This window comes from Homo sapiens, chromosome 1 (genome assembly GCF_000001405.40).
Source record: "Homo sapiens chromosome 1, GRCh38.p14 Primary Assembly".
NCBI lineage: Eukaryota > Metazoa > Chordata > Mammalia > Primates > Hominidae > Homo > Homo sapiens.
Genome location: NC_000001.11, coordinates 244,287,447 through 244,302,167, shown reverse-complemented (window position 1 = coordinate 244,302,167; position 14,721 = coordinate 244,287,447). Strand labels below are relative to the sequence as shown.

General features: G+C 45.5%; 1 long non-coding RNA gene across 2 annotated transcripts in view, besides 1 other annotated feature; it reads left to right on the top strand.

Moving 5' to 3' along the window:
* Positions 1–14,721, top strand: part of LOC105373262 (uncharacterized) — a 94,430-nt gene that overhangs the window by 23,010 nt on the left and 56,699 nt on the right. The gene's annotated exons all lie outside the window — the stretch shown is intronic.
* Positions 2,377–2,446: an enhancer, noted in NCBI's record as "active region_2836". NCBI's record gives its function as "activates an Ori minimal core promoter by ATAC-STARR-seq in GM12878 lymphoblastoid cells {active_cell/tissue: GM12878}" and the evidence as "EXISTENCE:reporter gene assay evidence [ECO:0000049][PMID:35858748]".

Genomic DNA, 14,721 nt, shown 5'->3' with positions numbered 1-14,721 from the left:
GAATGCAAAGTAAATCATATGGAAATAAAATGAAAATTTTAAAATGAGGCAGATGTGGGGGAAGTCAAGGGTCAGAGTGGCAGAGCAAAGAATCTGAGCCTGGCTTTTCAGAAAGTCCTTAAGGCATGATTCCTTCCCAGTGCCACCTCCTAACCATTTGACCTTGTGGCAAGTTTCCTTCCCCACCTTAAATCTGACTTTTAAGTGGCCACACCTCCTCCAGGGCCCAGACTTTCCTTTTCCCAGTAGGCATCTCCTGCCTTGGCCCTATCCACTTCCTGGCCCCTCCCTTCAGACCCAGACCCAACCCTTTTTTTGTTTATCCTCAGCGCTCCCCCTGCTTTATTTAACCCTTTGGGTTTCCTCTCCCTAGACTTTTATTTTATTTTGATGTTTATTTTTATGTTTATTTTTATTTGAGATGGAGTCTCGCTCTGTGGCCCAGGCTGGAGGGCAGTGGTGCGATCTTGGCTCACTGCAAACTCCGCCTCTCGGGTTCAAGCAATTCTCCTGCCTCAGCCTCCTGAGTAGTTGGGATTACAGGTGCCCACCAACATGCCCAGCTAATTTTTGTACTTTTAATAGAGACGGGGTTTCACCATGTTGGTCAGGCTGGTCTCGAACTCCTGACCTCAGGCGATCCACCGGCCTCGGCCTCCCAAAGTGCTGGGATTACAGGCAGGAGCCACCGCGCCTGGCCTCCCTAGACTTTTATGAAGTGGAACTCTGCCCAGTGCTGTAGGAAGCAACGGGAATCTGCAGTCAGGCAAGCCTGGGATTTTAAATCCTAGTTTTCTACTTTCTAGCTGTGTGTCCTTGGGCAGATTATTCTTTGAGCATCTATTTCATCCCCTTTAACACACGCGTAACAAGGTAAACCTCACAGGGTTGCAGCAAGTGTCAAGTCAGTGAGCGAAGAAGCTCTTCCTTTCCTATGAAAGTCAGGATGACCGATCTTGGGCTGCTTTTAAATTCCCATTCCTCCAGAAGCAAAGGTCCAGTGCAGATTTGGCAAAGACTCCGAGAAATGACCTTGTTTTTCTATACTGAGAAACTTTCTTAGGAAAACAGTAGATATTAGGGAGAAGGTGAAGCCAAGGGCAAGAGAAAATGCAGCATAAACTTCCCATGACTGAGTGAGCTGCAGAAAACTGATAAGGAATATAGTTTACCCCTTTTTTGAAAGAAGAAACAAATAACTTCGTATTACAGGAATTCCATACTTCAGTGTGTAATTAAGTGGATTCTGGCAGAAAGAATCTGGGATTCTGGAGTCTAATCCTTATTCTGAAAACCGCTTCATTTCAATTTCTAGTTTTCCTTGCTTGTTAATGCCTAGGTTGTGTTGTAAATCACAGGATCTTTAGGGAAAATAAAAAAGTACTGGAAAAACCTGGGCAGGCTAACAGGGCAGGCTCTGACTGCCATTGTCACCTGTGACACCCTGTCTCTAGTCTGGGAACACATTCTCTCTCTCTCTTTTTTTTTTTTTTTGAGATGGAGTCTCGCTGTCGCCCAGGCTGGAGTGCAGTGGCACAATCTCAGCTCACTGCAACCTCCACTTCCCGGGTTCAAGCAATTCTCCAGCCTCAGCCTCCTGAGTAGCTGGGACTACAGGTGCCCAACACCACGCCCGGCTAATTTTTGTATTTTTGGTAGAGACGGGGTTTCACCATGTTGGCCAGTCTGGTCTTGAATTTTTGGCCTCAGGTGATCTGCCCACCTCAGCCTCCCAAAGTGCTGGGAGTACAGGTGTGAGCCACCGTGCTAGGGACACATTCTCTTTCCTGTGTGGTGGTTTTCACTTGAAGCAAGAACCAGTTATCCCCCTTCTCCTGAGAAATGACAAGCCTGTATTTTGGCAAATATGTTGGTTTGCAAATCTGTTGCAAAACAGATTTCGGTGGTGGTGGTGGTGGGGTGGGCGCTCCCCAGCCCATCCTGGGAGGTTTTATTACAAAAATAACTAATTCAAGGACCTCCTTGTGGCTGGGCGCGCTGGCTCACGCCTGTAATCTCAGCACTTTGGGAGGCTGAGGCGGGCGGATCACGATGTCAGGAGATGGAGACCATCCTGGCTAACACGGTGAAAACACGTCTCTACTAAAAATACAAAAAATTAGCCAGGCGTGGTGGCGGGCGCCTGTAGTCCCAGCTACTCGGGAGGCTGAGGCAGGAGAATGGCGTGAACCCGGGAGGCGGAGCTTGCAGTGAGCCGAGGTCGCGCCCCTGCACTCCAGCCTGGGCCACAGAGCAAGACTCCGTCTCAAAAAGAAAAAAAAAAAAAAAAGAACCTCCTTGTAAGTCAGCCTCTCCCAAAGGAGGACATGGAGGGCCAGGCTAGTCCTAGAGTCTCTAGCAGGGCCACTTCCCTGAAGTTTTGTTCCTTGCTGGCTTAGCCCAAATAAACAGACCACTCTTCCTGTAGCGCTAAAAAGTCACTCGATGGCTTTCTGTTTCAGATTTGGTTTCAGAAGGGTTTTGTCAGCTTTCTGTAAACTGCGTCTGTAATTGAGGCCGGCCGCCTCCAGGTGGCACCAGTGTGCCGTCCCACGCTGAGTCTGCTCTGAGAATCAAGACGTTTCACTACCGCCCAATTCATTTGAGGAACTACTGCCAAGATGCATCTTCCTAACGATTTCTCTGCCCAGAGCCCTTCAGAGGCTTCCTGTTGTCTGCTAGATAAAGCCAAGCTATCAGTGCTCTCAGCCTGAGAGCAAGCTGAGATGCAGTCTTGTCTGAGTCTGCAGGGTGGTGGGAGAAGAGGCATGGGGCTTTTTGGTTGCAGTAGAGGGAGGAGATTGTTTGAGAAATGGGGGGAAAGAACTGAAACAACCAAAACAATGAGAGTGAAAAGGAACCACGACACCAGTGTCATGGACTTGTGTCTCTGCAGAGAAGCAGGGCATGTCGAAACTGCAAGCTTTTCGTTTCTCTCTCTCTCTCTCTCTCTGTCTCCTTTTTTGGAGTCTCGCTCTTGTTGCCCAGGCTGGAGTGCAGTGGTGCGAGCTCACCTCAATGCAACCTCCGCCTCCCGGCTTCAAACAATTCTCCTGCCTCAGCCTCCCGAGTAGCTGGGATTATAGGCGCCCGCCACCATGCCCGGCTAATTTTGTATTTTTAGCAGAGACAGGGTTTCACCATGTTGGTCAGGCTGGTCTCGAACTCCTGACCTCAGGTGATCCACCCGCCTCGGCCTCCCAAAGTTCTGGGATTACAGGTGTGAGCCACCACGCCCAGCCTAAAACTGCAAGCTTTTCACACAAGACCCAGGACTTACATTTTTTAGTGCTCACTAACACAAGTAATAAAATGTGACACAGAGGGAGGGAGGGAGGAGAGGGGCTTTCTCCTCTACCTTTACAAGAAACACAGTGAAACCGCTTTGCAAAAATTAGGTCAGTGAGAGAACTATGGCAGTGAGGGAGATCTGATCTAGCCAACCCTCATCTTGCCTTTAGCCTTCAAGTTGCCATTAATTGTTAATATTTCTGGGTGTAGGCCAAGCTAACTTTGAGAGTTAAATGATAATAGCCCTTTCCCCAAAGTCAGCTGCTTTTGTAAAAGTAATGAGAGACCACCAGGCTAGCAGGGTAGAGGAGCCTGAATTCTGCTAAGGTGTAGACATAAATGATTGCCAACCATTATTCTGCAGGTCATAAGATTTGCAACCTCCCAGATTACTCCTGCAGATAATATCACCGTTATAGAGCCTAAGATTGGCCTTTGGGATATCTTTTCAGTCTTTTTTTTTGATGTCTGACACTCATGCCTCCACCTAGACCCACTGACCCCTCCTGTGGCCCCACCCACAAAGGACTCAGGCACAGGAGGACCATTTCCCACACCCCTATGATTGCACCCCCAGCCAATCAGCAGCAAGCACCCATTGCCCAGACACCTCCATCCCTTCTCCCAAACTACCCTTCAAAAACTCCTAACCTCTGAGCCTTCAGTGAGGTCGATTTGAGTGATAACTCCATCTCCCATGTGGCATGACTGACCTCGAGTCAATTAAACTCTTTTTATTTTTTTGAGACGGAGTGTTGCTGTGTCACCAGGCTGGAGTGCAGTGGGGCGATCTCAGCTCACTGCAACCTCCACTTCCAAACAATTACTCTATCTCAGCCTCCCGAGCAGCTGGAACTACAGGTGCGCACCACCACACCTGGCTAATTTTTGTATTTTAGTAGAGACTTGGTTTCACCATGTTGGCCAAGATGGTCTCGATCTCCTGACCTTGTGATCTGCAATGCTGTGGTCTCTGTGAATGGATTTTGTTTGTGTAGTGGGCAGGAAGCACCCATCGGGTGGTTATAACAGCATGACTCTAGGCTTGCCACACAGCTGTGACGGTGGCACACAGCAGCCCTCAAATGGCTTCACAAGCAAAAAACAACAGAGGGGCCCAGGGCCAAGGAACGTGAGAGAACTCTTTATGAGCTTAAACGACAAAACCCAAGATCCCCGAAACACTTGGAGAGGATTTTGCAAAGTTAGATCTCCTCTATCAAGGATGTTGGGATAAGAGTCAATGAAATAGAATTTTGGTGGCTGCTGGGGGCCCATCAGCACCTACTAGCTGGAGAGCCAGAGTGGCATGTATTTCATCTTCCCGGGAGGTTTTATTACTGACATTACTCCAGAACCTCCTTATAAATTGGCCTCTCCTGGACACTTGCTCTTTTAGGATTAAAAAACAACTTTGTTATTATTCTCTTTCTACCACTGCCTTCAAATAAAGCTATTTTTCTCCATTCCTGGACAATCTCTTGGACGAGGGCTACAACTCAGTCAGGCACAAAAGTACCAAGCTTTTGAATATTGGAATCGCCTCACTTTTCAATCTAAGGACAGAGCTTCAGTCTTTCAGCCAGTTCATTGCTGCTTTTGCAGCCGTATCTTCTATCACTTTTTTTATTTTTATTTTTTCAAGTGAACACTTAATTTTCCATCCATTTCTTTTCTTCTTTCTCTCTCTCTCTTTTTTAAAATTAATTAATTAATTAATTTTTTTTGAGGCAGTCTCACTCTGTCACCCAGGATGGAGTACAGTGGTGCAATCTCAGCTCACTGCAACCTCCACCTCCTGGGTTCAAGCGATTCTCATGCCTTAGCATCCTGAAGAGCTGGGATCACAGAAACATGCCACTGCACCCGGCTAACTTTTGTATTATTATTATCATTATTATTATTATTATTTTGGTAGAGGCAGGGTTTCATCACGTTAGCCAGGCTGGTCTCGAACTCCTGACCTCAAGTGATCCACCCACCTTGGCCTCCCAAAGTGCTGAGATTACAAGCATGAGCCACCGTGCACGGCCTCCATCCACTTCTGAGAGTGACATTGCAGTGTTTGAGCCAAGATTCCAGTCTTTGGGCCTACATATACTATCTTCCCCTTCCTGCTCCCAGTCCTCAGAGTTTCCTGTTTGCTTTTTATTTCTTTTCTTTTCTTTTTTTTTGTCTCAAGATCTGTTTGTGGACTCCAGAGCTTCCTTGTTTCATTGGGAGGCCGTGTGGTAAGACGTGAAGACACAGGATGGGCATGTTGCTGATCTGGCGATTCCCTGCTAGCCCTGTGTCTTATCTGCTGTGTGACTGAACAAATCACATGTCCTCCACGATCTTGGCTCCTTTACCTAAGGAAGGGGAATAATGCTGTCTCTTCCACGGCTGTGAGATTAAATGACACAGAACAGGTGACTGCGTGATGCAAACTTCATGTGACTATTCGGATATTAGGAATATCCTAATATCCTTTTTTTCCTTGCCATTTTGTTCTCACTCTCATTAATGACCAGAGGAAAAGGAACTATGGAAAGAGCCTTGAGGAGTGTGGGAAAATGGGGCAAGCATTTGTATTTTTATCTCTCTGACTTTTCCTGGGATTTATGGGATTTCTCACATCCCCACCGGCAACGTGGGGGCGGTTTGCTTTCTGTAGAATGGAGGTGGCTTGAGAGAGTGACTGCTTGTGACCAGTGACTAACCAGCCTCAGTCATTGCAGCAGTCCCCAGCACAGAAGAGGAGCTCCACATATCCTTGTTGAGTGATGCGGTTTGTGATATAATAATACTGACTATAACTTTGGGAGGCTGAGGCGGGCGGATTGCCTGAGCTCAGGAGTTCGAGACCAGCCTGGGCAACATGGTGAAACCCCGTCTCTACTAAAAAAAAAAAAAAAAAAATTAGCTGAGTGTGGTGGCACATGCCTGTAGCCCCAGCTACTCAGGAGGCTGAGGCAGGAGAATTGCTTGAACCTCGGAGGCAGAGGTTGCAGTGAGCTGAGATCGCACCATTGCGCTCCAGCCTCGGGACAGAGCGAGACTCCGTCTCCAAAATAATAATAATAATAATAATAATAATAATAATATTGACTATATTGATTATGCTATTTCCATCCCCATTTCTCACTCCCCTCCCTCCATCTGAGATTTGTTGCTGTGGGTTTCATTCAAAACATTTGTTGAGCCCTGATTCTATGCTGGATTCTAATACAGAAAGCGAGGAGAGGGCAGATAGAAAGATGAAGAGGCCAGGCCCGGTGCCTCACGCCTGTAATCCCAGCAGTTTGGGAAGCCGAGGCGGGCGGATCACTTGAGCTCAGGAGTTCAAGACCAGCCTGAGTAACATGACAAACACCTGTCTCTACAAACAAACACAGAAATTAGCTGGTGTGGTGCACCTGTAGTCCCGGCTACTTGGGAGGCTGAGGAGGGAAGACTGCTTGAGCCCGGGAGGCAGAGGTTGCTGTGAGCAGTGATCGCGCCCCTGCACTCCAGCCTGGACAAAAGACAAAGACCCTGTCTCTAAAACGAAAACAAAAAATAAAAAGAAAGATGAATAAGAAAACACTTCTCCTTTTAAAGTTTGAAGTCCTAAAGGAGAGAAAGAATACAAATATAAATAAATATTACTCTTCTCTTTGCTTTCTCCAGATGAGAAAGTATGACAAGTGTCTTCGTGCTTAGGAAACACAAACCCCCAATGCATTTACAAACCATATTATGTACAAAAATGTAGATTAAAAACATTTTTAAACCCTTCTTTTGAAAGCACTCAGCTTTGCCTTTTTATTTTTCCTCTTAAGCTATCTAATCAAGCCCTGCTTGCGACAGGTTTCTAGTTTCTGGACATCCGTCATCTCTAACAATGACATCAGCTGTAACCCTCTCATAGTCTCATCCTGAAGATTAACTTGCAGTCAAGATTCCTCAAAGTTTAAACAGCCATCTAACTCGAAATGGGAATTATGAACAGCCAATTACACTGGCTTCCCTGAGGGATCTAGCCTCCTGTGATGAATAGATTCTCCTCTTCAACTGTAAAGTTTGAATGGGTAGAACCTTTCAGCTGAAGACAGAACCAATTGTGTATGTTAAATGTAAATTCGGGCACTTGTACATGCAAATTCATAATGGGCAAGAAATTGACTGGAAGGAAAGAAGCCGGCCTGTATAATAGGTGGGAGATGTGAAGCATGAACAAGCTAGAGAAATGTCAAGGAGGGGGCCGTGGGTTTAGAAGAGAAATATTAACAAGTGAAGCAGTTTGAATATTTTGGAAAGAGAGCAATTCAAAAGATGTCATGGGGTTTAGGGAGGCCCAAGAGCATCTAGTCAGGATGCAATCAGGGGCCTGAGCACAGAGAAGGGCTGGGGATAACCTGGCTTTGGAAGCCTGGGTTCTAGTCCTGCCTCTGCTAAATGACATTGAGAGTCACGACAGCTCTGCAGATCCCAGTGTCCTCAGGTGCCAACCAGAGGGTTAGACCAGACCCGTGGTTCTCAGCCATCGCTACATATTAGAATCACCTGGGGGCTTTTAAAAAGAAGTTTAGTTTAATTTAATTTAACTTGAAAAATTGACATATAGGCCAGGCGCGGTGGCTCACACCTGTAATCCCAGCATTTTGGGAGGCCGAGGCGGGCGGATCACCTAAGTTCGGGAGTTCAAGACCAGCCTGACCAACATGAAGAAACCTCGTCTCTACTAAAAATACAAAATTAGCCGGGTGTGGTGGAGCATGCCTGTAATCCCAGCTACTGGCGAGGCTGAGGCAGGAGAATCGCTTGAAACTGGGAGGCGGAGGTTGTGGTGAGCTGAGATTGCGCCATTGCACTCCAGCCTGGGCAACAAGAGTGAAACTCTGTCTCAAAAAAAAAAAAAAAAATTGACATACAATAATTGTACATACTCGTTGGGCACATAGTATTGTTTCTATATATATCTAAAACATATAGTGATCAGATCGGGGTAATTAGCTCACCCATCATCTGAAACATTTATCATTCTTTTGTGTTGGGAACATTGAATATCTTCCTTCTATGGCTGGGTGCAATGGCTCATGCCTGTAACCCAGCACTTTGGGAGGTTGAGGCAGGACGATGGCTTGAGACCAGGAGTTTGAGACCAGCCTGGGCAAGATAGTGAGACACCATTTCTACAACAACAGAAAATCTTCCTTCTAGCTATTTGAAACTAGATAGTATATTGCTGTTAACTACAGTCATCCTATAGTGGTATAGAACACTGGAACTTAGTCCTATCTAGCTGTGATTTTGTATCCCTTAACAAATCTTTCCCTGTCAGCTGGGGAGTTTTAAAAACCCAATGATACCTGGGCTTCAACCCCCAGACATCCTGATTTAATTGGGGTGGGGCGGAGCAAAGTCATCAATGTATTTTGACGACTTTACTGAACTATAATTCACATGCCATAAAATTCACTCTTTGAGCCGGGTGTGGTGGTTCACACCTGTAATTCCAGCACTTTGAGAGGCTGGGGCAGGAGGATCACCTGAGCCCAGGAGTTTGAGACCAGGCTGGGCAACAGAGTGAGGCTCCATCTCTACAGAAAATTAAAAAATTAGCTGGGTGTTGTGGTATGCGCCTGTAGTCCCAGCCTCTCAGGAGGCTGAGATGGGAAGATCTCTTGAGCCCAGGAGGTCGAGGCTGAAATGAGCTATGATCATGCAACTGCATTTCGGCCTGGGTAACAGAGCAAGGCTCTGAAAAAAAAAAAAATCCACTCTTTGAAAGTGTATAGTTCGATGGGTTTTTAGTTATTTACAATGTTGTGCAACCATCACATCTATGTAATTTTAGAACATCTTCATCACCCCCAAAAGAAACCAAGGTACCTGTTAGCAGTCGCTTCCTATTTACTTCCCCACCAAGCCCTAGGCAACTACTAATCTACTTTGTCTTCATAGATTTGCCCATTCTGGATCTTTCATTTAAATGGGATTGTACAACGCAGTTTTCGGTGACTGGCTTCTTTCTCTTGGCGTAATTGTTTTGAGTTTCACTCATGTTGTAGCACATGTTAGTCCAGTTGACTCTTGAACAATCAGGGTTTGAAATAAGTGAAAGCGTGCATACAAGGATTTTTTTCAATACACGTTACACCGAGAGTGCCTGCCTCTCCTGCCTCCCCCTTCCACTCCTTCCCATCTTCTGCCTCTGCCTCCCCTGAGACAGCAAGACCAGCCCCTCCTCCTCCTCAGCCTACTCAACATGAAAAGGATGAGGAGGAAGACCTTTATGATGACCCACTTCCTCTTAATCAATAGGAAATATATTTGCTGTCCCTTGTGATTCTCTTAATAACATTTTCTATTCTCTAGCTTACATTATTGTAAAAATACAGTATATGATACATACAACATACTAAACATGTATTAATTGACTATGTTATTGGCAAGACTTCCATTCAACAGTAGGCTATTAGTAGTTAAGTTTTGGAGGAATCCAAAGATACACATAGATTTTTGACTGTGCAGGGGTCAGTGACGCTAACCCTTGCATTGTTCAAGGCCAACTGTACTTCATTCCTTTTTATGGCCAAATAATATTTTCTTCTATGGATATACTATATTTTAAGCATGGATGGTTTTAAAGGATTCCAGAAAGTTCTAATGTGTATCCATGATTAAATCATTATGACCCTGCTGGGCTGTGTAGCACATATGGCTGAGACAGGATAGAGTCAATAAGAGCCTCTGGTGAAGACAGTCTCCAACAATACTGTGTACGTGTCTTGATTTACTGGCAGGAAAAAAGTTTGCACCTGTAGTTGGCACCCCCCTGTTTTGTAGTTCAGTTGCTGCCACCCTCAGAGGAGCTGGTGGGTGCTGGGCTGCAGGTGACACATGAAAGAAGGGACGCAGAGAGGCAGAGGCACCAGCGGGCCAGAGCCCCAGGCGGGAGGGATCCCGGTCGCTCTCTGGTGAGGGGGCCATGAGGTCCCAGGAAAGTCCTGGGAACATTACTTTGGGTAGAGCAGAAAGAGGCCAGAAAGTTGCTTCTAAAACCTGAAAATGATTCCATGGAGTTGGAGAAGCGCCCTTGCGGTGTAAAGGTTGGATGTAGCTGTGAAGACATCAGAAAGCGTCTGCTGGTGTGAGGACGTGCTGGTGGCGTCTGGCCCTTTCTTCCCTGGGCTGCTTGCTGCTGTGCCCGGTTCCTGTCCCCACGCCTTTGTTTGGCCCTTTGTCCCACTGTCCACTCACTGGAAGACCCCAACAGGATTCTTACCAAATAGATGAGTTGATGCCAACCCACCGAAATTACCATTCGCTGGGTAGGAAAAGATGGTCACACCTGTTCTCATCCCATTCAGTGTCTTTATTGCACTCAGGAGTAGTTCAGCAGCTGTTCAGACCATTAATGGGAAGTGGGCTAATACTTCTGTCCCTGCTTTTTTTTTTTTAAACTTGGGAGGAAACAGAGTGATTTCTTAACATGATCACAAAGCAAGATAAAGGCAGATGAAGGCACAGAACTCACAAATGCAGTCATGAAGAGACCTCCCATATTCTGGGGTAACAGGAAGGGGCCCTGTTTTCCCCACCATGCCCACCAAACTCCTCCCCATTCAGCAGCCCCAGCGAGCTTTATAAAATAAAAATCAGAGAATGCCCCTCCTTCTCCTCCACTTGAGACCCCCCAGTGGCTTTCCTACACTTAGGATGAAATCTAAAATACCAGCCTGGTGCAGTGGCTCACACCTGTAACCCCAGCACTTTGGGAGGCTGAGGTGGGCAGATCACCTGAGGTCAGAAGTTCGAAACCTGCCTAGCCAACATGGAGAAACCCTGCCTCTACTGAAAAAACAAAAACAAAACCAAAAATTAGCTAGGTGTGATGGTGTGCACCTGTAATCCCAGCTACTAGGGAGGCTGAGGCAGGATGATCGCTTGAACCCGGGAGGCAGAGGTTGCAGTGAGCCGAGATGGTGCCCCTGCACTCCAGCCTGGGTGACAGAGCAAGACTCTGTCTCAAAAAAAAAAAAAAGAAAGAAAAAAAAGAAATATAAAATCCCTACCCTTGAGGAAAAGCCTCACAGACGCGAGGCTGTGCCCCAGTCAGTTCTACCCACACGAATTGCCCCTCTCTCCATAAAGCACATCCAGCCTTTCCTACTTCAGGGCCGTGGCACTTGATTCTTGGTTTTCTTTCTCTTTCTCCATCCAACATATTCATCACCTGCCTCAGCTTTGATGTTGTTTCCTCAAAGACACCTTCTTTCCTCCCTACCCACTGTCGAAATGAGGGGCCACTCTTTCGCCCACAGTATTCTTTGATGATCTCATACAGTTCATTACTCTTTGAAATTCTGTGGTCATTGTTTCTTTAACATCCGTCCCTCCACTAGACCCTAAGCTATATGTTGAGTTTATTCCTACTTTATTCCCCCGAACAGTGCCTGGCTGCAATTAGGCATTGAGCAATGCCTGCTGAGGAAGGGTTGGGTGCATGGATTTACAGAGGGATTCTGGAATTCCAGAGTGCTGGGGGTGGGGGTACTATTAGGGGCTGCAGTCATCAGGGAAAGTGGGAGAGCTATGGGAAGATTATAAGGAAAGGAGGGGAGTCAGGCCTGGAGCGGGGTTAGCTACCCACAGTGTATAGAAACAGGAGGACAAAATTGAGGGAATGTTTACTTCCAGGAAAGACATGGCCAGACGCCAAACAAGTCATCAAGAAAACAGATTCAAGATACAGGTGATTGGCTGGGCATGGTGGCTCATGTCTGTAATCTCAGTGCTTTGGGACACGGAGGCGGTAGGATAGCTTGAGGCCAGGAGTTTGAGATCAGCCCGGGTAACATGGCAAGACCCCATCTCCAATTACATATATGTAATCTGAGCATGGTGGCTTGCCTATAGTCCTAGTTACTCGGGAGGCTGAGGAGGGAGGATTGTAAAAAGGCAAGACTCTGTCCCAGAGACCTCAGTCTCTCCATGGGCATAGGTTAGGAGAGAGTTGAGTGTAAAGAAGCTCTTTCCAGGGTGTTCATGTAGCCTTTCCCCACATACTTTCATGCACTGCCTCCCCCTCTTTATTCTTCTCCCAGGCACAGAATCAAATTGATCGCAATTATTAATTCATAGCATGCTATTATCGTTGTCCCCACAAGGCTCCTCTTCTATTGTCAAGTAAATTGTTATGTCACCCTTTGTATCCCAGCTCCAATCCCATTGTCCTTCCGGTTCCCAGGCATACCCAGACTTATATACTTAATGCGTGCATCTCCCTCCAATCCACCTCCCACCACACAGATATATGTATATATCCTCCATAATATACAGTATTTTTGTATAGGTATACATATGTGCTTTTTTTTTTTTTTTTGAGACAGAGTCTCATTCTGTTGCCCAGACTGGAGTGCAGTGGTACAACTGATCAATGTTCACTGCAGCCTGGACCTCCCAGGCTCAAGTGATCCTCCCACCGCAGCCTCCTGAGTAGCTTGGGACCATAGGCACATGCCACCATGCATAGCTAATTTTTTGTACTTTTGGTAAAGACAGGGTTTAGCTATGTTGTTCAGGCTGGTCTCAAACTCCTGAGATCAAAGTGCTGGGATGACAGGCATGAGCCACTGTGCACAGCTGTATATTGTTTAAAAAGTCTTATACATGTTATTATGCTAAAAATATTCTGTTTCTTACATTTTTGTCTTAACATTTATAGTTTTGAGATTTATACATGTGTGTACAGTCTAAGTGATTTCTTCTATCACAAAGCATTTAGCCAAATGTATATAGCTTATTTTGCTTGTCCGTTTTCCTAGTATGGCCCCTAGATTACCTCCAACTCTGCAGTATATACAGCTCTGTGTGATCCTTTTGTGTATATCTCTTTGTGACCTTGTGTGACAATTTCTCCAGGATATATACCAAGCATGGTTTCCCTGGGTCCTGGGGAATACCTATAGAAAATTCTCTTCCAAATGGCTTCACCAGCTAATATTTCAACCAACAATGCTCAAAGGTTCACATTTCCCCATGTCTTTGCCACCACTTGATATTGTCCAACTTTCTAATTTTTGCCAGCTTGATATGTGTAAGGTGGTATTTTGTTAATTCAGTAGGATTTTTCAAAACCTGAGTGTCTGTAGCCATCTTTGCTGGGACTGAAGAGAACGTCATTACTGTATCAAATGTGGTGTGAACTACATTTCTATGAGTCTTATAGCCTTTTCCCCCCCTAATTTGAAGAGTAGTTTGTAAGTATATAATAAAAGTACCTGCCTCATAGAGTTGTTGTAAGGGTGAGCTAAGGGTCTGGTTCATAGTATGTGCTCAGTAAAAGTAAATCACTATTATTATTATTGTTATTGTCATCATTACTGTGAATAGAAAGTAATTAGCATGGTGTTTGGTACATGGCATTCCACTGGAGTGTAAGTTCCACAAGAAAAGGGAGTTTGTGTCTTTCTTGATCATGGAACAGTGTTTGGCCCATAGTAGGTGCTCAGTAAGAATTTGTTGAATAAATGCGTAATAACTGGAAGTGGCTATAATGATGGCAATGATGCATATAAAGCTAAGGGCTCCATAAATGTTAGCTAATAAATGTTAGCTCTTATTATAATTAACTCATGTCATGGGGGCCCCCAAAGGAAGGAGCTAGGCCAGTGGTTCTCAAAATTGATTGTAGTTTGGAATCACCTACCCTTTGGAATAATGATGTTAAAAATAACCAACAGCTGGTCAGTCTTCCCACACACAACCCACCTTTTATCTTTCACCACAAAATACTAATTCATTTACAAAGGAAAAGGGGCAACTTTACAGTGGAGAAGCCTGGCACACATCATCTTAATCAAGTGATCAAAGTGAATTTTAGCAATCATGGGACAAATGAAAATTGTTAGCCACCCTGTTGGATGCAATGAGAGCATAACATCATTTCTGTGATATTCTTGCCAAAAGAGGAGTAAACAAAATCTCCCTGTGAGGAAATGTTAGACAAACCCAAATTGAGGAACATCCTGCAAAATAATCTTCAAGTGTGTCAAGGTCATGAAAGTCAAGGAAAGACTGAAGAACTCTCCCCAAATGAAAGTGACTAAAAGGGCCAGGTGCAGTGACTCACGCCTATAATCCCAACACTTAGGGAGGCCAAGGCAGGAGGATAGCCTGAGGTCAGGAGTTCAGGACCAGCCTGGGAAACAAAGTGAGACCCTGTCTTTACAAAAATTAAAAAACAAATTAGCCAAGTGTGGTAGTGTGTGTCTGTAAACCCAGCAACTCGGGAGACTGAGGAGGGAGGATCATTTGATCCCAAGAGTTAGAGGCTGCAGTGAGCCGTGATTGTGCCACTGCACTCCAGCCTGGGCAACAGAGCAAGACACTATCTCTAAAAAATAAAATAAAATGAAAGAGATTAACGGCACCTGATCAATAACTGCAACTCGAGATTCT